The sequence below is a fragment of the Homo sapiens genome, chromosome 11, assembly GCF_000001405.40.
Source record: "Homo sapiens chromosome 11, GRCh38.p14 Primary Assembly".
Lineage (NCBI taxonomy): Eukaryota > Metazoa > Chordata > Mammalia > Primates > Hominidae > Homo > Homo sapiens.
In genome coordinates, this window is record NC_000011.10 from 91,169,352 (window position 1) to 91,195,338 (window position 25,987).

Below are 25,987 nucleotides of genomic sequence, written 5' to 3' on the forward strand. Positions count from 1 at the left end.
TAGCAGGTGTACCAGAAAATATATTTGCTATAAGCATATGTCGGAAATTAGACAACAGAAGATGAAAGGGTTTGATTTTCTGAACTGACAATCAGCAAAAAAAGACTAGGGGAGTTTGAATTCTAATATGTCAGCATGAGAAACTCCATAAACCCATTCAGTTTCAGTGGTCTTAATATTTCCCGCTTGCTGGCTCTAAAGAGCCTGGGCAATCTGGACGAGGAAGATTCCATAGCACAGTGCAACAGCTTTACTAAGAAACAGTCAGACTGCTTCCTTAAACGGGTCCCTGATAGCGTGTCTTCTGAATAGGTGAGACCTCCCAAAAGGGGTTGCCAGAAACCTCATACAGGAGAGTTGTGGATGGCATCAGATAAGTGTGCCTCTGGCATGAAGTTTCTGGAGGAAGGAGCAGGCAGCAATCTGCTGTTCCACAGCCTCCACTTGTGATACCCACATGAACAGGGTCTGGAGTGGACCCTCAGCAAACTGCAGCAGACCTGCAGAAGAGGGGCCTGACTGTTAGAAGAAAAACAAACAGAAAGCAGAAACAACAACATCAACAATAAAGACCCCACAAAAACCCCATCCAAAGGTCAAGTCAACAGCCTCAAAGATCAAAGGTAGATAAATCCACAAAGATGAGAAAAAAACAATACAAAAACACTAAAAATTCCAAAAGCAAGGATGTCTCTTCTCCTCCAAATGATTGCTACACTTCTCCAGCAAGGGCTCAGAATGGTACTGAAATTGAGATGGATGAAATGACAGAAGTAGGTTTCAGAAAGTGGGTAATAACGAACTTCACTGAGCTTAAGGATTATGTTCTAACCCAACTCAAAAAAGCTAAGAACCATGATAAAAGATTATAGGAGCTGATAACTAGAATAACCAGTTTTGAGAGAAACCTGAACACCCCAATGGAGCTGAAAAACGCAGCACAAGAACTTCACAATGCAAACACAACTATCAATAGGCGTATCAAACAAGCAAATGAGAAAAGGCAGGCAGACAAGATTAGAGAAAAAAAGAACAAAAAGGAATGAACAAAACCTCCAAGAACTATGGGACTATGTAAAAAGACTGGATCTACGACTGATTGGAATACCTGAAAGAGATAAGGAGAATGGAACCAAGTTGTAAAACACACTTCAGGTTATCATCCAGGAGAACTTCTCCAAACTAGCAAGACAGACCAACATTCAAGTTCAGGATATCCAGAGAACTCCAATAGGATACTCCATGAGAAGATCTACCCCAAGACATATAATTATCAGATTCTCCAAGGTCAAAATGAAGGAAAAAATGCTAAGTCAGACAGAAAAGCCAGGTCACCTACAAAGAAAAGCACATCAGACTAACAGCAGACTTCTCAACAGAGACCCTACAAGCCAGAAGAGATTGGGGGCCAATATTTAACATACTTAAAAAAAAAGAATTTCCAACCCAGAATTTCCTATCTGGCCAAACTAAGCTTCATAAACAAAGAAGAAATAAAATCCTTCTTAGGCAAGAAAATGCTGAGGGATTTCATCATCACTAGGCCTGCCTTGTAAGTGCTCCTGAAGGAAGCAGTAAACATGGAAAGGAAAAACCATTACCAACCAATACAAAAAGACACTGAAGTACACAGACTAATGAGACTATGAAGCAACTACATTAACAAGTCTGAAAAATTAACCAGCTAGCATCATGACAACAAAATGAAATTCACACATAACAATATTAACACTAAATGTAAATAGGCTAAATGTCCCAATTAAAAGACAAAATGGCAAGCTGGATAAAAAGACAAGACCAGCCGGGCACAGTGGCTCATACCTGTAATACCAGCACTTTGGGAGGCCGAGGCGGGTGGATCACCAGGTCAGGAGCTTGAAACCAGCCTGGTCAATATGGTGAAATCCCATCTCTACTAAAAATACAAAAATTAGCCAGGCATGGTGGCATGTGCCTGTAGTCCCAGCTACACTGGAGGCTGAGGCAGGAGAATCACTTGAACCCAGGAGGCAGAGATTGCAGTGAGCGAAAATCATGCCACTTCACTCCAGCCTGAGGAACAGAGGGAGACTTCTTCTTAAAAACAAACAAACAAACAAAGGACCCATTATTGTGCTGTATTCAAGAGACATATCATATATGCAAAGACACACATAAGCTCAAAATAAAGGGATGGAGGCAACTTTACAAAGCAAATGGAAAGCAGAAAAAAGCAGGGGTTGAAATCCTATTTTCTGACAAAATAGACTTTAAGCCAACAAAGATCAAAATGACAAAGAAGGGCATTACATAATGGTAAAAGGATCAATTCAACAAGAAGGGTTCACTATCCTACATATATATTCACCCAATACAGGAACACCAAGATCCGTAAAACAAGTTCTTAAAGACCTAGAAACAGACTTAGACTCCCACACAATAATAGTGGGAGATTTTAATATCACACTGTCAGTATTAGACAGATCATTGAGGCAGAAATTTAACAAAGATATTCAGGACTTGAACTCAGCTCTGGACCATGTGGACCTGATAGATATCTACAGGACTCTCCACCCCAAAACAAGAGAATATACATTTTTCTTGGGGCCACATGGCACTTACTCCAAAACTGATCACATAATTGGAAGTAAAACACGCCTCAGCAAATGCAGAAGAACTGAAATCGTGTCAGTCTTCTCAGACCACAGCACAATCAAATTAGAACTCAAGATGAGAAATCCACTCAAAACCACACAACTACATGGAAATTGAACAACCTGCTCCTGAATGACTTCTGGGTAAATAATGAAATCGAGGCAGAAATCAAGACATTCTTTGAAACCAATGAGAACAATGAGACAATGTACCACAATCTCTGGGACGCAGCTAAAGCAGTGTTAAGAGGAGCTTTATAGCACTAAATGCCAGCTTCAAAAAGCTAGAAAGGTCTCAAATCAACACCCTAACATCACAACTAAAAAAACTAGAGAACCAAGAACAAACAAACCCCACAGCTAGCAGAAGACAAGAAATAACCAAGCACAGAGTGGAAATGAAGGAGATAGAGACATGAAAAACCCTTCTAAAAATCAACAAATCTGGGAGATGGTTTTTGGAAAAAAATCAATAAAATAGATATAAAACTATCTATCTATCTGTTGTCTTAGTTTATTTTTGTTGCTATAACAAATTGACACATTCTTGGGAATTTATAAAAAATAGAAATTTATGTATCACAGTTCTGGGTGCTGTGAAATTCAAGATCAAGATGCTAGCAGGTTTGGTATCTGGTGAGAGGCCCGTCTCTGCTTCCAAGATGATTCCTTTTTGCTACATCCTCCAGGGGGAACAAATGCTGTGCCTTCACAAAATGAAAGGGCAAATGAAGGCTTAAGCTAGTTTTCAAATTGTAGTAGACATGCCACTTTAATTTTTTTTTTTTTTACAAATTTCAGCTTATTCTATGCTTTTCTAAATCATGCATCTTTTCTCCTCTCTTCACTTAATTATTCTTTCAGCCTTATAGCTTATACCACCTCTGTGTTATTTAAACTATTATCTGTAATGTTCACAAGATACTTTCGGAAGAAAATAAAGCTGTCTGGTAATGTATTTCCCACTTCCTTTGTTAAAAAAAAAAAAAAATCACCCAGAATGTAAATATGTAAATTTGGTAGTTTTACTCTTCCATGCTGTTGGACTTCATCTTCCAGGACACTGAAAAGTATCATTTGAAAAATTTTGCCAAAAGCTCATTCTGCTCTCAGTCTTTGAGATTATAAAATTTGAATGAGGTTTTTGTGGTCTTAACCACATTAATAATCAGTTTCATAATGGAGAGCTTTATTTTGTACTGTCTCTGGGGGAAAAACAATTATTTTTATAAAATAATTAACTTTGTTTTGGGGGAGAAATTAAAGCACTTGATGGCTACATGCCACTATTTTACAACACACTGGGGACTAGAGAAGAATGAATTGATGTTCCCCAAAAATCTGTTTTTTCAAATGATCATCGTAACATTTCCTATACATACCTTTCTAATTATTTAAAATCATGACACTTTTAAATTTCATTATCCCCAGAAAAAGAAATTCATCCAAATGTCCTCTTAATTATTTACTATTATTACATTTTTTAGGCTTTATTTTCTAGTACAATGATAATGTGATGATATGTTAATTAACCACTTTTAAGCTATTCTTTTTATTTTTATTTTTTGGGAATATAAAAATCATTTCTATTGAAACATTCATGTTTGATAAATATAAACCACCACATGCTAAAGACATTGGAAAATTACATTAAAAGCTATTTAATATCAAATAATATTAAATGATCAATTTCTTTCTTTAAAAAAACCTTTAGAAATGTAAAAATCATTAAGAATACTATGGGATGTATACTAAAATCATAATTAACTTAGTATCTCAAAATTTTGAAATATACTTAAAAATGTTTTCCTCATTGTTTTCCTTTGACATTACTCATCAAACCACTTGCTGACCCTACAGTGAGAAATACTAAGCAATGATATTGTATTAGGTCATTCTTGCACTGCTCTGAAGAAATACCTGACACTGAGTATTTTATAAGAAAAGAGATTTAATTGGCTCATGGTTCTGCAGGCTGTACAGGAAGCATAGCTCCATCTGCTTCTGGGGAGGCCTCAAGGCACTTCTGATCATGGCAGAAAGCAAAAGGGGAAAAGGAACCTCACATGGGTAGTACAGAAGCAATAGCAAAAGAGTGGGAGGGAAGCTACTACACACTTTTGAACAACCAGATCTCTTATTAACTCAGAGCAAGAGCTCACTTATCACCAAGGAGATGACTGAAGCCATTCAAGAGGGATCCACCCCCACGATCCAAACACCTTCTACCAGTCCCCACCTCCAACACTGGTAGTTACATCTCAATATGAGATTTAGCCAGGGACAAATATCCAAACTGCATCAGATATAGAGAAAAGAATCAACTTGTATATACACAAGGCTCAAACACTAGAAGAAAACAGATAGAATCAAAACCCAGTCTATATATCAGGTAACTAGGCAGTGACAGCTGGATCAGCATACGTACACACAGATGGCAAATATCAGTGTGAGACTCTGAGGAGCCTTGGCAATTTGAAGAGAGGTGTTGCCCAAAGGGAATAAGAAAATACAATAGGGCAAATAAGAGAAGCCATTATTTGATTCAGATATCTTCTGTCAGTAATTCTTTTGAGGATCTGGGCCACTTTAATAAAATTTTGTCAGTGTAAAATATTTGACCTTCTTTACTGGGCCACTTATAAAATTTATTTTGTGGGCTCTGCAGACTGGATAAGATTTTTTTGAAAGTTACTGGCCTTTTATCAAGGTTATTTGTGGTGGGTTATAATCTCCTATACTGGAACCTGCTATTTCACTGGTTGTATATGTTCCCAGTCACACATTTTACACAAATAACATTTAAGGGCTTTTAAAGGCAGTGACTCTGACTTTAGCATTAATATGGTTTCCTCCATGAAAATATCTGTAGAGGAACATTAACAAGTGACATTGTTTTGACAAATGTATTTAATTGAAATTATTAAAGTGCAGTTACATTAATGTCTATTCAGCACTTCCAAAAATACATTATGAAAAATAAAAGACCTTAAAAGTCCTTCATTAAATAATATAGAGTCCTTGTAAGATATTATTGATCTCAGATTTGATAAGCTTTGTTCTAGATTTCAAATGATTTAGGATGAATAACATCTGAATAAATTTAGTGTGATTGCCTCAGTCTAACTTCTAGCATCATGTGTAATTGTGATGCATGCTTGCCTGTGCGCATGCCTATGAGAATTTTCATTATTCTATGTAATTTATTATAACATGATTTGATTATACAGCAACTAGTTACACAAGTCATTTAATGCCCTTGAAAATCTGTTTAATGTATACCATTCTGTTTGTAATTTTGTGTAGACTAATCATTGTCTTTAAGTTATATTAACGCTCTAAGCTGGACACCTGTAGTGAACTTGCTAACTGATAAAATTCTAAGGTATACATGGAAAGTAGCACTTATTTGTACTTATTTATGAGTAAAACTGATTTTCACTGAAGGAAATATTACTCAAAATAAATGACAAAACAGTGTAATAGAAATCTCAAAAATACCCTAATTTATGATTATTATTATTATTATTATTTATTTTATTTTTTTTTTTTTTTTTGAGACGGAGTCTCGCTCTGTCGCCCAGGCTGGAGTGCAGTGGCGGGATCTCGGCTCACTGCAAGCTCCGCCTCCCGGGTTCACGCCATTCTCCTGCCTCAGCCTCCCAAGTAGCTGGGACTACAGGCGCCCGCCACTACGCCCGGCTAATTTTTTGTATTTTTAGTAGAGACGGGGTTTCACCGTTTTAGCCGGGATGGTCTCGATCTCCTGACCTCGTGATCCGCCCGCCTCGGCCTCCCAAAGTGCTGGGATTACAGGCGTGAGCCACCGCGCCCGGCCTAATTTATGATTATTATTATGCTTCCTGGCTGACAATATAACTAAGATATGGTTTACAATTTTTCTTTCTTAAAAGGTGTGTTAGAAGAACAGAAAGATGTGTCATATGTAACAGGCACATGATCAAGTTACCAGAGGTAGTTAGGGTTGAGCAACGAAACAGAAGAAACCATATCAGCAAACACAAAGCTAGGTCTTAAATAGAAAAGTAGGATGAATCTGTAGGAGAGACAACATTTTACCTATATCTTCGAGGTGTTTCGGCTGGATCTGATAATTGAATTGACAAGAGAAAGATGAACAGGAAAAAAGCCTACAAATTTATTTAAAGTAAATTTTATGTGACATAGCGGTCTTCCTCAAGTAAATGAAGAACCAAAGATGCAGTTAGAGTTGAAAGCTTATCTACTGAATTGGAGAAATAGTAGTAAACTATGAAAATGTGACAAGGCAAAAGGGATTTGGCTAAGATAATTAATTGGGTATAGATGTGGCAAGAAAGATAAGGCTTAATTTAACAAGGTTTATACAGATTTCCCTCAGCCCCAACTTTATGTCCTGGAAGATGAGAATGATACTAGAATGATACTTTCCTTCTGGTAGAAAGAAGACATTTTCATATGGGAATTTCATCTCCTGCTTTTAAGAAATAGCTCAAAGGTCACAGTGATCTTCTTGTACCTGCTGGTTTTTAAGTACCTTTAACTCAAAATAGTCCATATGCCAGACTGGCATATGATGGGGTGGCATATGTTTAATTCTTTCAGATTCTTTTCTTTTAATATATAATAGAAAGAAAAGGGGAGTCCATGGTAGTGCCATCCTGTTACTCCTAATAAAATTTATCTACTTTCTTTTATTCTAGAGATTTTCATTCTCAGGACTGGCATTCTTAGGATTCTGCTATTCAATCTATTTTAATTTTATCTTTTATGTTTGATATCTTCTACAATGCTGACCATTCTTTTTAAATAATCTTTATATCTTTGTCTCTTAATTGTAACTCCTAACCCAAGTGAGAAACTTATTACCACAATCAATCACCATTCAATACAAAACCTAGTACAGAACTAATGTACAGCACTCACATTTGGAGTCATCTCAAAGATTAGAAACTTTCATTTCTTTTCTAACCTCTAGATGGATGCCGTTGGTTAGAGTGATCCATAGGCCAATAAGCTGTGGCCAGTGAACCATAGTTATATGATGCAAAATGAGAACAACTTTTCTTAGGTGTCAACAACTGCAGCCACTTTCTTCAAAAGGAAATTAGGAGTGCAGTAGACACTTAAGAGTCTCTTCAGTCTTTTTCTCTACACAAACAACACTTACCTATAACTGTTCCTCTCCATACTCACACTCTTTCTTGTTTATTCATTCAACAAAATGTATTCAGCGGTGTCTATTTGCCAAGCACTGAGCTGATTGCTGGAGCTATAGTACTAAAGAGTAATGATCCATTCCTTATCCTTATTAAGCTTACATTCTACCTGGAAGAACTGATAAATATATAACTAATAACATAGTAGATTACTGGCTTACAATTATCCTACATTTTATAAAGAAGATATACATAATGTTAGGGTGGTGTATAAAAGAAAGATTATGAGGCATGTGAAAAAAATATTTTTCTATGGAAGAAATTTTTAAGGAGAGTTCTGAAGAGTGAGTAGGGCTTAGGTAGTAACATTTTTTAACAGAACCAGATAGGAGCAAAAACCCTATATAAGCAAGAACAGTTGAAAGAAAGAACTGTTGAAATACATATAAGAAAGAACAGGTGGAATACCAAAATCATGAAAAATAAAAGAGAGATAATAAAGAGAGATACAGAGTGCACAAAATGTATGTTTGTGTGCTTTGAACAAAGTTAGCATACAAGGAGCTGAGATGAAAGATGCTAGGTAATCAGAAGCCAGAATGCTTGGAACCATCTAGATCTTGTTAATGTTAACTTTGGATTTCTTTGAAACCAACAGTAAGCCTTGATACAACGTCAAATAGGGAAGAGACTTGAACACATCTATACCTTTTAGAAATCACTATGAGAAAATTAAGCAGTCATACATTATTATTACTAATAAACAGTTTGTATTCAAACTGTTGTAATATTTTTTCAGAAATGTTATTTTTGATTATTATCCAACCCAGGAGCAGACATTGCTCTTACTAGCCATATCTTTATATTATATTTTAATTTGGAACAATTCCTCAGCATTTCTTTCCTTTTTTGCCAATGATATTTTTGAAAAGCATAGACCAGTTATTTTTTAGAATGTCCTTCAATTTGGGTTTGCTCCATGTTTTCTCATGCTTAGATTTAGGCAATCAAATTTGACAAAATTGATGTTTCCTTCTTGGTGTTTTATGTTAGGAGACACATGGTGGTGGGCTCTCTGGGTATTGGATGATGATGACTATTTGGTTATTTTGTCTATAAATAATTTTTTCTATAAATAAAAATTTTGTCTATAAATAAAAATTATTTGAAACTTAATATATTCTTTTATATTTGTCCAAAGACTTACCATTTAACTCCTTTCTGTAGATCTATCTTTTCATTCTAAGGAATATTGTAATGCTTTCTTTGTAGTGCAGATCTGCTGGTGACTAATTCCCATAGTTTATGTCAGTTGAAATTATCTTTTTCTTGCTTATGTTTATGAAATATAATAGTACTGGATAGAAAATTCTAGGTTGACAGATCTTTGGATTTATTTTGGCACTTTAAAGATGCTCTTATGTCATGCTCTGGCCTACATGGTTACTGATGAGTCAGCTCTCATTGTGTCATTATTCCTCTCTACGTATATTGCTTCTCTGGTTGCTTTCTAGGTATTTCTTTTTAACTATAATATATGTGTTGTCTTTTATCCTGCATTTTGTTGTATTTATCTTCTTTAAGATTTGCTGAAATTCTTGAACCCCTAAGTGTATATGGGGAGGAAGGAAGAGTGTTTAAATGAAATTCGAGAAAACTTCCCAAATTATTTCTTCAAATATTTGTTCCTGACCTAATATTTTTTCTTTTACTTCAATTACAGCTATGAGTAAGTATAACTACATACAATATCTAGGGGTTTTTTTCTCCCAATTACTGAGACTCTTTATCTTTTCAATACATGTATCTGCATTTCATATTGGTAATTTTTATGGAACTGTCTTCAAGTTACCTAGTCCTTTCTTCTGCCATTTCAGATTTTCTGTTAAGCCTAGCTGGCAATCTTTTAAATTTTAGATATTGTACTTTTTAAATCTGAAACTTTATCATTATGTTTTCAAAATATGAGCTAAGTTTTTGTTTCTATTGAATGATTTTCTTTTGATGAGAGGCTACTTTTCTGGTTACTGCAAATAATTGCTATTTTATTTTTTTATCCTGGACAATGCTGTAATACATCCTAGGATGTCTGGAATCTTTCATCTTTATCTGAAGAATGTTGTTTTTGCTGATGCCATCCTCTTAGTGAGCTGTTGACTTGGCTGGACTCAAACTTTATACTCTGTCTCCCTAGATGTTACTTTCTACCAGGCTCCTGGGAGTTTTTCTGTGAATGCACTTTGGGACCATACATGTATTTAGTTGGAGGGTTATCCAAATATCTAGCTGGAGAATATACATAGCTTATGATGAGGCTGCCCACTCTGTGGCTCCTTTCTTTTTGCATTCTGTCTCTTTCTGGATTCTCAAGAAGCCCCAAACTCTGTTGTCTGACTACTTGAGCCACGGTCCCTGATTGGTATTAGTTGAATTCTAGCACCCCTGTTTGTCCTAGCACCCCACTTGCTCTTTTGACTTGAGTTCTAGCAAAGAACTTGTTTTAGGGTGTGTTCCAATTTAAAATGTCAATAAACAGATATCTTATTGAGTGCAGGTACTTCTTTCAGTGGTTGGTTGCTTTTGGCTTTTTTCTGTTTTGAAAGTCCACCATTTTGAAAGTCATTTTTAATATTTTGTTTGTAGTTTTTGTCATACTTATCTGCAAGTAAGTCTGATGCAAGCTGTTCTACAATTACCTGTAGCAGAATTGCAGATTTAAACTTCCAAATAATCCCATCTAACTGTGATGTGGTAGATTTCAAAGGGGACCAGTAGTGAATACTGAAAGATGTTAGGAGACTACTGAAACAATCAATAAGAGAAGTGTCAGTAGCTTGGGCTAAAATTGTAGAATACATAATAAGAAGTTGACAGAATTCAAATATGTTTATTACATGTTATTGACAAGATTATTTCCTTCACATACCTAAATGAATTGATTCAGTAAGTATTTGCAGAAATGAAAGGACTAGTCACATTATATAAAGAAAGTCCTAGTTTTTGCAAAGTTTTAATCTTTGAAGGAAATATCATGTTACCTAAGATCTATAATGGTATAAAATTTTAATATGCAACACTGTGTCCTATGTCACTCTAAAACAGAGAAAATAGATCATTGCCAACTCAACTTTAAGATGACATTGATTGTAAGTTACATCCCAACTTTAGAGGTATTAAAACCTGTGGGGAGAAAAATGTCTCCTGGAATCAAGAAAATCCTGCATTTTACAAAATCTATTCTATAAAGGCTAGTGAAGACATTAACTTTTCTTTCTTCCTAACAGAACTTCAGTTTTGTTCCAAAAACTTAAATTATGCATCCCTATGACTCAGGAAAAGCTGATTTTTTTCATTTTATGTTAACTATGATGATTTAATCTCTCTTTCCAGGGATTGAGGCTTAATCTAGTGAATGTAAAACATTTCTCTGGAAACTCCTACTGATTTGGGGAATGGCTTAGACTAAACTGAATCAATCAACTTAAAGGGAGACTAGTTTTTGATTGGAGGAGGAGTGACACATCAGTTGAATGTGAGCTAGGAATTCTATTGCTCCAGTTGTAGCTAGCTAGCCATTTTGCAACCAGAAGGCAAACTGTTCTGAGGATCAAGTAAACACACATAGACAGGCAGAGCACAAAGAATCACAAAGAAATGGAGTCAGTATCCTGACCATACCAATACCTGAAGACCACCAGATTGCTGGGTTTATTGACAGTATGTTTCTTTATTTGTAAACCAGTTTAATTTAGAATTTCAATTATTGGCATCTGAAAGCACCCTAGCACATATGCTTTCGAAGTCAAAACCCAGCACCTCTATGTTCATGAATCACTGGTTTCTGAAATGTTTAACTGATACAGTATCTTTTCTCTTACTTTACCATTTCAGAAATTGAATCTGTCCTTTGCTTTCCTAGTAACTGTACCCAAACCTCATCCTAAATTTGCTGCTGCCACTCTCCTTCATTCTCCAACTAACTTTCTGTGACTGTAGCTGACTTATTGTCTTCCTCTGCTTCTCTGTTTATTGTTGACAGTTAACTACTACATTTCCTTGGTCTTGGTCTAGACAATATTGTTCCACTGAAGTTAGTTATTATTTATACACTGACCATATAACATACTAATTATAAAAGAGAAAAAAACAGGTGAAGAATGACAGTGTGTTCTCATAGTTCCTTTTCTTTTTCTAGGGCTAGGTCCAGCAATTTAATATTCTTTGTGAGAAGAGTGCCTTCAGATAATCTTTTCAGGACCTCAGAAAACATTTATCAATATTAAAACTTCTTTGTCAAAACTCTATTCCCTTTACTTACTCCACAATAGCATTTATTTCTGACTTAATTTCATTATTCACCCAAAAGTCACTCAGAAGCAGGTTAGTTTTTATGTAATTGTATGATTTTGAGTGAATTTCTTACTCTTGATTTTGAATTTGAATGTGCTGTGGTCCAAGAGACTGTTTGTTATGATTTGAATTCTTTTGCATTTGCTGAGGAGTGTTTTCTTCTGATTATGCACTTGACTTTAGAGTAAGTGCCATGTAGCAATGAGAAAAATGTATATTCCCTTGTTTTTGGGTGGAGAATTCTATAGATATCTATGAGGTCCATTTGATTCAGTTCTGGGTTCAAGTCTTAAATATCTTTGTTAATTTTCTCTCTTGATGATTTTTCTAATATTGTCAGTGGGGAGTGAAAGTCTCCCATTATTATTGTGTGAGAGTCTAACTCTGTTTGAAGATTTGTAAGAACTTGCCTTATGAATCTTTGTGCTACTGTATTGGGTGTACCTTCTTTGTCTTTGTTGGTTTAAACTCTATTTTGTCAGAAACTAGGATTGGAAACTCTTCTTTTTTCCTGTTTTTCTTTTGCTTGGTAGATTTTCCTCCATCCTTTTGTTTTGAGCCTATATGTGTCATTCCATGTGAGATAGGTCTCTTGAAGACAGCATACCAATTGGTCTTAGTTCTTTATCCAACTCGCCATTCGGTGTCTTTTATTCGGGGGTATTTAGCCCATTTACATTTAAGGTTAATATTAATATGTGAAAATTTGATCCTGTCATCATGATGTTAGCTGATTATTTTGCACACTTGTTTATGTGGTTGCTTTACAGTGTCACCTGTCTGTGTACTTCATTGTGTTTTTGTTGTGTCTGGTAATGGTCTTGTCTTTTCATTTTAGTGCTTCCTTCAGAAACTCTTGCAAGGCAGGTCTGGTGGTAACAAATTCCCTCAGCATTTGCTTGTGTGAAAGAATCTTATTTCTCCTTCGCTTATAAAGCTTAGTTTGGCCAGATACAAAATTTCAGGTTTGAACTTCCTTTTTAAAATAATATTGAATATTGATAACCCACTCTCTTTGGGGTTATAGGGTTTCAGCAGAGAGGTCCATTGTTAGTCTGATGAGCTTGCCTTTGTAGGTGACTTGGCCTTTATCTCTAGCTGCCTTTATCATTCTTTCATTTTGAACTTGGAGAATATTATAATTATATGTCTTGGGGATGATCTTCTCATGGAGTATTTTACTAGGGTTCTCTGAATTTCCTGAATTTGAATGTTGGCCTCTCTAGCTAGGTTGGAAAAGTTCTAACGGATGATATCCTGGAATATGTTTCCCAAGTTGCTTCCATTCTCCCCATCTCTTTCAAGTACACCAATCAGTCATAGATTCAGCCTCTTTACATAATCCCATGTTTCTCAGAGGTTTTCATTCTTTTTTCTTTGTTCGGTGTCTGCCTGACTTACTTTAGAAAGCCAGTCTTTGAGCACTGATATTCTTTCCTCCACTTGATCTACTCTTCTATTAATACTTTTGTGATTGCATTGTGAAGTTCTTGTAATATGTTTTTCTGTTCTATCAGGTCAGCTACATTATTCTCTATACTGTCTCTTTTGTCTGCCATCTTCTGCAATGTTTTATCATGATTTTTAGCTTCCTTGCATTCCATTACAATGTACTTCTTTATCTCAGTGAATTTTCTTCCTATTCATATTCTGAATTCTACATCTGTCATTTCAGCCATCTCAGCCTCAGCCTGGTTCTGAACCCTTGCTGGAGAGATGACATGGTCATATGGAGGAAAGAGGATACTCTGGGCTTTTTGAGTTTTCAGTTTCCTTGAGCTGATTCTTTCTATCCTTAGGGGCTTACCCATCTTCAATCTTTGAGGTTGCTGACCTTTGAATGGGTCTTTTTTTTTTTTTTTTTTAAACAGTCTGGCTACTTTTTCACAGGGTTGCTGTGGTATGCTGGGGGTCCACTTGGAGGTATCACCCTCTGCCTACCCCTTCATCTCCGGGTGGCCTAAAACCTTTGTCAGTCAGAGAACACCAGTAGAGGTAGCCAGAGACCCTGGTTGGGAGGCTCCACGCAGTGATGTGGAATGGGGTTGGGGACTCACTTATAAAAACAATTTGGATAGCTTCATCAGGTTTCTGTGCTGTGCTGGGGTACTGTTTTCACCCCCAGTTGGCTTAGACTCTCCAAATCCCAGAGGGTGGAACTGCTAAGTTGCCCAAACAGCAGAGATGGTGGCCCACCCCTCCCTCTGGGATTTCTGCCCAGGGAGTTTTTAAATCTTTGTAGGCCAGAGAACATCTTTGGGGGTGGCTGGAGGCCCAGGTTTGCAGGTTTCTTCCAGTGAGGAGAAATGGGATCAGGGACCTGCTTAAATAAGTGGTGTGGTCATGCTTTCATAGAGCAGCTGTGCTATGCTGGGGTACTGCTCTGCCCCTGGTTGGCTTGGGCTCTCCAGAGCCTGGAGGCTGGAAGAGCTAACTCTCCCAAACAGCAAAGATGGTGGCATGCCCCTCTCTCTGGGAGTGCTGTCCCTGGGACTTTTCAAATATCTATCAGCAGGAGAACACCAGCAGAAGTGGCTGGAGGTCCCAGTGGGGAGGTCCTGCCCAGTGAGGAGGAATAGATGTGGGGCCTACTTTAAAGAGCAAGCTAGCCACATTTTGGTAGAGCAGCTATGCTGTGCTGGAGGATCCTTTCCACTCCTGATCGGTTTAGACTCTCCAAAGCCTATAGGCTAGAATGGCTAAGTTGCCCAAACAGTGACTGAGCTCTGTCCCAGGTAGGGGCAACACTGCTACTGGTGGCTGGCTGCAACTCCAAGCCAGTGGGTCGTGTCCTGTGAGACAGACCTATGTCACATGGAAGCGGGGCCTGCAGAACATTGCTGCTTGCCCACCTGGATTCAGCCTCTTTCCTCGGGGTATGTATGGAGGTCTAACCTCCCACTTTGCTGGAGTTGCTATTACCTTTTCTTGGAAGCCCAAAAAGCCAGAGTATCTAAAGCTCCTGGGTCTCTACATGTGCTTGAGCAGCTGCTCTGTGTGACTGCACACAGCTCTGTGTGTCAGACTAGAAGCCCTTATGGAGTGGGTTCATGAGGGGATCTTATGACCCAAGGGATGCAAAGGTCCGTGGGAGAAGCGTGGTTTCCCGGGGTCACACGTTTACCCACCACTTCCTTGGGTGGGGAAGGTTCCCTTTCTCAATGTTACTTCCTGGATTCTGATGTTACCTGATCCATGGGTTATACTCTAAAACTACTTTTTCTTAATGGCATACATGTATTATGCAATTTCTTTATGGCAGAGGACATTTAAAAGTTCAGAGTTTTGAAACTCATAATTTTTGTTTATTTCCCTCAAAGCTGTCTCTAATATAAATTATAAATGGCTATCTTAAAAAATAAAACCCCAAGTATTCTAAGTATTCTGCCTTACTGCTGTGTTGTCTCCTTGCTGAACAATAAAGATAAAAATGCCTTAGCTATTATTGGAATGGGGAGGAGGGGCCACTATGTAATTCAAAGTATAGAAAAATACACATTTATTATTGTAAAAAAGTACTATGTCTCTGTACCAGTCTTTATTCCCAGTTGTTCTTTTTACCCTCAGTATTTCTTCTTGTAGTAAATTTGTAGTAACTTTTGTACTCTACATACACACACACACACACACACACACACACACATCTATATAAAATCATCTATGATTACATTTATCTCCCGAAACCACTACTTTCATCTAGTTATTTAACTGCTTTTTTCTTCTCCATTTTCTAGAAAACAGCCCAAAATCTTTAGTTTGGCATTCAAGTCCTGAGATACATTATCTCAACGTACATTCCTGTCCTAATTTCTCATAAGTTTTCCGTAAATAAATATTTATCTATCTTACAACCACCTATTCACTGTCTTTCTCCATTTATCTAAAAGTTGCTAAACTTGAAAATACCTCTTAAACCCTTTTCTCTGAAAAGGGTTTACATCCACTGAAAGATGATCTCTTTCCACTAGAAACAATGATAATGTTCTCCTGCATCACAACTATATCTCTTAGCTGTAGTTACATCTTGACTATTTCTGTTGCACTATTAATTGTCAATGTTTTCATAGTTTGTAAAGATAAAAATTCTCTGAATTGCATGGCCCAGGCCTTCTCTCATCTTATTGTCTACAGCAGTGGTCTCCAGCCTTTTGGCACCAGGGACTGGTTTCATGGAAGACAATTTTTCCAAGGAGGGAAGGCAGAGGGGGTTGTTTCTGGATAAAACTCTTCTATCTCAGATCATCAGGCATTAGTTCTCATAAAGAGCACTTGACCTAGATCCCTTACATGTGAGTTCAAAATAGGGTTCATGCTCCTATGAGAATCAAATGCCACCACTGATCTGACAGGAGGTGGAGCTCAGTTGTAATGCTCCTTTGCCTGCCGCACACCTCCTGCTGTACAGCCCGGTTCCTAACTGGCCACGGACCAGTACCCATCCACAGCCCAGGGGTTGGGGACCCCTGGTCTATAACATCCTTTGCACTGAGTGCCCAGTCAAATAATTGCTGTTTAATAGATTTGTCTGAGTCCTTGGTGAAGTTTACTACAACCTAACTAGAGAAACTTCATTTTTGTTCTTATTATTTTGGCCATTCAGTAAATCCTTTGAGATAAATAATTCCACTTTAAATCTGTGATATTTGAAAATAGAAAAAAGAATTTATAGTCAGTAAAATCATTATTTCATTTGTCATCCCAATGCAATGCAAAATAAGAGAAAAAAGAAAATATATATACCCATCTCTCAAAATTTCTAAAGAAAAAGACCAGTAAATTTTTACTAGTCATCTATAACTGAGGCCAAAAATATCTGCAAAGGATAAAATGTTTATATTCTGTTTGGAGAGTCTATTTAATCCCATATATCCTGATAATTACAACAATAACAGCCAAAAGAAAACCAATCTATAACAGCTATTTCAATTCTGAAATTTGTTGTGCTACCAGATCTTCAAGGTTATTAGTAAAATATTAATTGAATTTTATTTATTTATTATTATTATTATTTTTTTTTTTTGAGATGGAGTCTCACTCTGTCACCCAGGCTGGAGTGCAGTGGCACAATCTCGGCTCACTGCAACCTCTGCCTCCTGGGTTCATGCCATTCTCCTGCCTCAGCCTCCCGAGTTGCTGGGACTACAGACTCCCACCACCACGCCCAGCTATTTTTTGTATTTTTAGTAGAGACGGGGTTTCACTGTGTTGGCCAGGATGGTCTCGGTCTCCTGACCTTGTGATCCACCCATCTCAGCCTCCCAACGTGCTGGGATTACAGGCGTGAGCCACCGCGCCTGGCCTGAATTTTATTTAATAATTCATCATTCATATATTTTATTACATACGCATGGAACAATTTTGTTCTTTTCAGAAATAATGTTAAAGAGTCCAAAGATCAAGCTCTGGAAAAAGTCACATATATTATAACTGTGGAAATTATAAAATACTAATCAAAGCTTTTTCCTATGAGAGATTCAAGTCTAAAGAATTCTCATAAACATTTTTATTTCATATATTAAATTCATGTCATAAATATGCAATATATAGTTTCAAAATAATAAAATTAATTTTAACTATGTTAACTAAACACACACAAATAAATGCAAGTTATGTCAATCATTGTAAATTTGCAGCCCTGGGTTTATTATCATTGAATGTTTTATGATTATTGGCTAGAATATTTATATAAAAAAATCATACCTAGCTAATCATTAGAGTAATGTACTTATGCATCATAAAATCAATAGACACAAATGATAGGAGTCAATTTAAATACATTGAATTGGAGGTAATTTAAGTGTATCCAAAAGGAGGTATCTTAATATCTAAATATGTTAAGTCAGAGGTTCTTAAGAATATCCAAAAACATTAACCAATTACTTATTCACTTCCTGACAACTTAAAAACTTCTCATCCTGGCTTCTTTCAAGTCTTCTTTCTTCTCAATGTATGCTACACAACATGTGCTAAAATTCCAGCACATTAGACATGTTCCAAACTTCTCCCCCTGCTTTACGGGAAACAAATTCCTTATGTTATGGAATTTAAGATATTCTCTAATATGATCTTTAATGTAAATTCCAGACTTATCACCGCCTTTACCATTGCACAAGTCCAAGATGGATTTTTGTGCATTCCTTCCTTTTCCCTGCTTCTTTTTTAAGTAATTCTCTAGCTTCAAACTTAATTCTAACATATAATCAAGTAATATCCCTCTCCTCCTGACTTTGCCTTCAGTAACGCCTCGAATATACTTAGTGCAGTAATTTTTCATAAAATTAAAGAAGCAATTTATCAAGTTCCCAAAATAAAAATTGTTAAAATTTGTTTGGAATTTTATTAAATTTAAAAGTTGGTCTTTTGATGATTAATATCTGTAAAATATTAATTCCTGTTATCCACGATGGTACATGTCCCTATTTGTTTTCTTTAATATCTCATCATAAAATGTTTTATTTCTTCCTGCAGAAGTCTTATAGTTTATTAAATATGTTTTTGGATATTATGTTACTACTGTACAAAATATTTTTTCTTTAATATTCAGCAGTTGGTGTAAAAAATATGCTGTTACTGTATAAAAATGTATCATTTTTATATTTTAATCTTATATCCAGCCAGCTTGCTAAATGCTCTTATTACATTTAATAATATACGTATGGATTCTTTTAAATTTTCTAATTGAGAGGTCATAACATCTATAGCTACATAAGCTTCTGTTTCCTTCTAATACTTATGTTTTTAATCATAGTCTAGGACTGCTCACACAATGTTGACTAGAATAGTGATAACATCTGTCTTAACCAGGGTTAATCCAGAACAAAACAAGGATTTTAATTGCGGAAAAAATTTCAGGGAAGATAGGCAGAAAGCTAATGAGAGTAAAATATGTAAGGAGAGGAAGGCAATACAGAGGGTACTTCCGATTTTTGATTGCTCTCCATGATAAATGAGGCCATTTGCATCATCAAGGTTATATAAGATACTGTGTAGACTGAACTTCGCAACTATTCACTTGAGAAAAGAAAGAGGGGAGAATTTATTCACTGGCTCCTGTCTCACCCTGGTCAAGAATTGTCCATGAGGTATTCATTCACCTTCCCAGACCACATATGCATAAAAATCAGTTAGATTTCCCTTGTCTCTTAAGTCATGCTTTTAGAAACATCCAAGGCCGAAAGCGAAAATGCGAGGTGTAACCGAAGCAAAGTGCTATCAGTTTACACCTTAATGAAGCTGAATGCCATGAATATGACTTGAGTAAAAGGAGAGCCAAAAGGATGTGGGGCATGGAATAAGTAGCTAATATAATAGACATTTTTGTCTTAAAAGAAGATGTCTCTAATTTAGGACGGCTACTCATGGTTTTTTATACCCTTATTATATTAAGAAAATGGTCTTATATTATTAATTTGGTAATAATCTTCCTTGTAAATGGGTTTTAATTTTTTAAACTGCATGTATAGAGAATATTATATTATTTTCCCTTTAAATTAATCAATTTGTTGGATTGAATTTCTGGATTGTCTAATACTATATTGTCTTTTCATACCTGGAATAACACCAATATGGTTGTGGTGCAATATTTTTTCTGTACATTGTTGTGTTTGATTTCTTAATATGTTAATTTTTTTTTGCATCTATCATCATAAGTGAAATAGACATGCAATTGTTCTTTCTTACATAGTTTTCTCTAGATTTTTTACCAGGTTGATGAGGCCTCATAGAGTACATTGGAAAATATTCCTCCTTTAAAATTTCATGTCAGAGACTAAATAAACTTGGTATCATGTGCTTGAACACTTACAAGAACTCATCTTTAAAACCTTCTGAGCCTAGTGTTTGCTTGTGGGATTATTTTAAGCACTGTGTCAATTACTTGAATGCTTATATTATCCATGCTGTTTTTTTCTCCTTGGTTTAATTCTAGTAAGATATATTTTCTGCAAATTTCAATTTAATCAAAAGTATTCAAAATTATTGGCAAAAGTGTTGGCATATTACTTCTAGTGTTACAACTTTTATTCCTATCATTCTATATGTATATCTTTTTCTCTTAATTACTGTTGACAAAAGTTTGTCTCCCTTTAATTCTTTTTTCAAACAACTACTTAGGCTTTGGTGATCTCAGTAGTATTGGTTTATATTTTAATGAATTTTGCTAGATTTTTACTTCACTTGCTAATTTCTTTAAGTTTTATTTTTATTTTTCTACTTTATTATGATGGGCATTTAGCTTATGTATTTAGAAGTTTTCTAATTTTCTAAAAAAACTAAGTAGGCTATACATGTGTTTCGTAAAGCATTGGTTTGTTGTATCCTACTAGCTTTGATATATAATGTTTTCATTAAAATTCAGTTCTAGTCATTCCTTAGTATAATTTCTTCTTTATACCATGAGTTATTTAGCAATGTTTTTATATTATTCAAATGTGTGATATTTTAAACATTTATATTTTTGTCATTAACTTCTAATTTATATTGTGATCAAAGATTATAATCTTTATGATACCTGCCTTTGAAATTTTCTAAGGCTTTGCAAGTGTCTGTGAAAAATGTCTTTCATTAATTGTTACACGTAGAATATATATATATATATATTCCATGAATTTATTGATTATGGGCAAGTTTACTGATTTTGTTGTAAATATTTATATACCCCTTTTCATTTACATTTTTAACTGTTAGTAAACGACAGATGTGTGTTCAACCTACTGATAAAATTTTGGATTTATGAAATTATTTTTGTATTTCTCTCAGCTTATGCATCATATATTTCAAAATTACTTCATTACTAATACCTATAAATTCTTGGTAAATTGAAATTGCATCATTAGATAGTGACACTACCCTATATCATTATCTTAACTGTAATTTATCTAATATCAGTATGGCAATTTCCTTGTGCTAGTATATGAAATGAAATGAAAAACATGTGTTAAATGTCTTTATCTCTTCTCTTTGAATTTTTGTTTATCCTCATGTTTTAAGTGTCTTTTGTAATCAGTATATAGCAAAATTTTGAATGTTATTCTCAGTCTGTCAGAATTTGTCTTTGAACTGTTAAGGTTGTCCATATTTATTTATTGTAACTATTGATTTATTTAGAACTGTTACTGTCTTATTTTTGTATTATATCCTATTTTTGCAATGTCTATTTTAATTATTTCTTTTTTAAATTGATAACTGTATACCTCTTTTAATAAAATAGAAATCAGCATCGTTTTACATGTCTTGGTCTTTCTCACTTCCACTCCTGATTTAAGTATTACATGCAAAAATTTAATGAGTTTCTCAGTTACAATACTTCTGATACTGTACATTTCTAATATGATTTTTATCATGTTCTCATATTGAAGTGACAGTTTGAAATTCTTTTTTTTTCACCTAAATATCTTGTTATTTTGATCTGTGAACTCATTTTCCTCAGGAATATTAGCTTTTTTTTTCTTCTTCAGGCAATGAGAGTTAAGGAAGACCAAAACCCCAGTATTTGTCAGACTGATAAATCCAGAAGATGTGGAGTAGAAAAGCCCATGGGTAGAGCCGTCTAAGAAAACCAGATTCAATCATTCCTTTTCTTATAAAACAAACACTTTTATCAATTATTTTTCCTTCTCAGCCCAAGAAGTATTCATTAAATACTTGGAATATAGTTCCTAATGTTTAGAGTTTTGAAAGGGAAAAGATGGGAAATGGAGAAGCAATTGACTGAAGTCAGTAAGCCCTAGGGATTCTTTGATAGTTATTCCTAATACACCTGGACCCAGCTGTGTGGCACAGGCATTATTCGTCTCCAGGAAATGTCCTGGAAAAAATAAGAGCATAACTCCAATAATCCTCACTGTACTTAAACCTCAGCAGTGCTTGATTGCCTCCTGTCACAGGTCAAAGCTACTTCTTCCTACACACCAATTTAAAACCTCATCTCCCAGGGGTTTGTCAGTTTTCTCCCTTTTCCCTACTGATTCCTCCGAAGCTGAACTTGGGAGTGGAAGCCAGCAGCCATGCTAGTTCAACCACTTAGTCAAACTTGAACCCATATTCACTTTTCTTTGAGATGCTGTGTAGCATTATGATTTCCTCTGTTTACAGGGAAGATGTTTACACTTCATGCTTTCCTATTATCCTATCATGCCCAAGAAAACCCATTAACTTTCCCATCTTTTTTTCTACATTTAATATCTCACATTTATATGACTCACCAGGCCCTGTAGTAGTATGCTGATGAACACTCTCTGGAAAAACAACAACAACAACAAAAGCCTGACTTTTTGCATTTGCAGATCTCCATAGCTTATATACTGTTATCAAGGTTGATTTTAAGCTACCAACAATTTAGTAACTGGCTGGCAACATTAGAGGAACCTTCAGTGTTTGCATAGAAATAAAGTTCATATGGGTGGAGAGGTCAAGATGTGTTTTCTTTAGAATCATTTTCCTTGACATTTTTCTCCTGATGGTCCAACACTGTGTATTGTTCTCCTGCAACAGGGCTAAATATAGGTGACACAGATACAAATATTGCTCAAAGCAAAGATATTTCCTAGCTTCATCACCATAAATTCACAATAAACATCAGATGACAAAATCTACTATATTCATTGTCTAGAGCTGCTGTGAAAAAGTAACACAAATATGGTACTGTAAAACAACAGAAATTTATTATCTTGCAGTTACGGAGAACTCTAAAATCCAGGTGTTATCAGGGCCCTGCTCTCTCTGATGCTATGGGTAGAAGTCTTTCTAGCCTTTTCCTAGCTTCTGATGGTGGCAGGTGTTCACTGCTTGCAGCTGCATCACTGCAATCTTTGTCTCCATCGTCACCTGGCATTCTCTCTGTATGTCTCCACATCATCTTATAAGGACATCAGTCATATTGAATTAAGGGTCCAGCCTACACCAGGAGATCCAATTTTAGCTTAACTAATTATATCTATAATGATTCTACTTTTAAATAAGGTCATATTTTGACATACTGAGGCACAGGAATATTATATTTTTGAAGACACAAACCTACAACAACTAGTTTAACTTCCTTTTCATGATCTTTTTGGGTCATGTAGTATATGTTTCTCAGCACTGATTGCCCAAATTATCTGAGGAATTTATAAAATATACACACTTGGGTCATACAACAGAGCAATGAAATTAAAATTTCTCTGAATGGGGCTAGGACACCTCTATTTGTAAGAACACCCCTAGGTGATTATGATGCCCAAGTGCATGTAACAACACTGACAGAATGAGACAAAAGACCCCTTCAGGGGCCTGCCAGGTCCCCCAAATATGAAAATAAAGAAAAATATTTAGTTCCTTCAAAGGAAATTCCAGAAACTTAGCTCATCTTAAGAAGCAAATAAGGACCTTGATAAGTCAGAAGGTAACAGTAGTAAAAAAACAATAGCCAAGGAAGCTGAAATCACGGGGATGCTTGGTTCTTCTAAAGAAAGTAAAGATAACGTCTTAACATGTAGCTCTCAGTTGTTTTTCAGAAACCCAGACACCCACAGACTTGACCTGCTGTCACATAGACCTCAGATAAGGGGAAACTGAGGATTGAACTTTGGCTGCCATTCCTTGTTCTAAATTTCTTCCTAAGAAGCCTGAAGAAAGTCATACCATGAGCTAGAGCTAACGTTCTTTTCTACTGACCCCAAATTTTTAAGCAAAGCTTCTCTTCCTTAACCAATTGCAAATCAGAAAATCTTTGAATCTACCTATGACCTATAAGCCTCTGCTTTCAGATACCCTGGCCTTTTAAGCCAAAACCAATATGTAACCTCCATACATTGATTTACAGTTTTGCCTGTAACTTTTTTTTTTTTTTTTTTTCCCCAATTTACCCCTGCTTTTAGAAACCCTTACCTACAAGGCATCGGCGAGTTTGGGACTTAAGCATTTGCTGCCTGATCCTCCTTGCTTGGGCACTGCATACCAACACCTTCCTTTCTACAGCTGCAAACCTTCCTTTACATATCTGGTTCTACTGTGCCAGGTGAGTGGACCCCAGTTCAGCTCTTTAATAAGAAGGCACATATGAAATCCAATTAATCCCAGTCATGGCTACCAGCAGGTAATGCCTTAATGGATATATTATCAACTTCTATTCTACTGATTTGTGGCTTAGCATACACAGTACTACCCCCAATTTGTCTTTAGTTCTTATATGTATGAAAAATTATATCTTCAATTAAATTGATAAAATTATCAATATAGTTATATATGTGCACACACACATATACCCACTTCTTCTAGAATGTAACCTTCAAGAGGCCAGGAATTTTTATCTGTTGTGCTCTGTACTAGAAAGTTCCACACCAACGGGGAGATGGAAAGTGGTGGAAGTGAACAGCCTCCATGGGAAGGATTATCACTAGCATCGTTTAGAAATCTGGATACGTGAGGATGATAAAAAAAAGACTGACAATTGACTTCAATATTCCTTTTAAATTACCTCATGACAATGCATATCTTATCTTTTGCTTCCACCTATTCTCACATTTGCCACTGACTCCTGGCACATCATAGGTGCTCTATAAATGATCATTAACTGGGTCAATAAATGAGTATAAGGTGTTCAATAAATACTTGGTTAAAGGGTGGAAGGACGGATACAGAGATGAAAGAAAGGGTAAATGAATAAATATATCTTCACCTACCTAAGTAAAAGAGTGAAAGAGTAAACCCCTTCAACATACTTTGGCACTGTTCTTTAGACTCAGGGACTCTGATGTCTGATCCCATAAGCAAAGTTATGACTGGCTTTGGTAAGAGAAAAAAAAATCTCTAAACATGATAGTCCATAGGAAACTTCTCCATCCAACCCAGAAGTAAGATCACAGTATTAATACCAACTAAATGCAGGAAAAAGACACAGGAGGGAAAAAATTAATATCCAGTATAAAAAAAGTAATAAAAGGCAAAAGAAAAAGCTAACCCTGATCCTGAGTACACATAGGAATGAAGTCATAGGATATCTTTTTTCTTCAAGAAAAAAGAAAACACATAAAAGAGAATAAATGAGAAAGGGCAAATGTTATAAATAGTGGCAAACGTAGGAAAATGAAAGCAAGGGAAATGGAATATCATGGTGAAGGAGAGGAAGAAATAGAATCCTCAAGGAAGGAATAAAGACAGCTAGCAAAGAAGCAGATCGTTGGCCTCTGATTGTATTTCATTTATAACTGTTATTACATTTTATTATATTTCTCTGGCAGCAGTCCCACATCTCTTTATGTCTGAAGGAAGGGGGTGGCAGAAAAATGTTGCTCTGGAGACTTGAGATTTATTGCCTCATACACTTAGTGTTAGGCTGATTTTTTTTTTTTAAATTACATGCCACTGCCATGTTCAAAATAAAACTTAAGATAGACTGCATGCCATGTATCATTGTAAGGATTACTTTTATTCAGAGTGAAAAACTAATGAAATTCAGTTAAATCCTAAGCAAATCAGAAACCACTAAGGTAGACACCAGCTTCTATACTTTTTTTATTTTATCATAACTTGTGCCTCCAATGAATGATATGGAATTGAATGGGTGATTTCCTGAATTAAGAACACATTGCATGAAAAATAGGTAGATATTGCTACAGAAAGCCTAGGTTTTTGAATCTAGACAGACCTAGATTTATATCCCAGTGAACGTGGACAAGTTACTTAAACTATCTAAGCCTCAGTTTCCTTAGGTGTAAACATACATATTAATAGTAGTTATCTCATTATGGTTTTCCTGATGATTATATAGTGTAATCAGTGATTGTATAGTATATAAAGTGTGAAAAGTTTTTAGCATAGTAGCTGGTAAGTATTCAAAATAATGAGTAATTTTATCATTAAAGTCAT

At 35.7% G+C, this 25,987-nt stretch overlaps 1 long non-coding RNA gene across 1 annotated transcript in view; it reads left to right on the forward strand.

Annotated features, from left to right (window-relative positions):
- The window catches only part of LINC02748 (long intergenic non-protein coding RNA 2748), a 70,456-nt gene that overhangs the window by 11,361 nt on the left and 33,108 nt on the right, over nt 1-25,987 (forward strand). Inside the window, exon 4 of the long non-coding RNA NR_183632.1 lies at nt 23,998-24,137. This is a non-coding gene — a long non-coding RNA (long intergenic non-protein coding RNA 2748). The remainder of the gene's footprint in view (nt 1-23,997; nt 24,138-25,987) is intronic.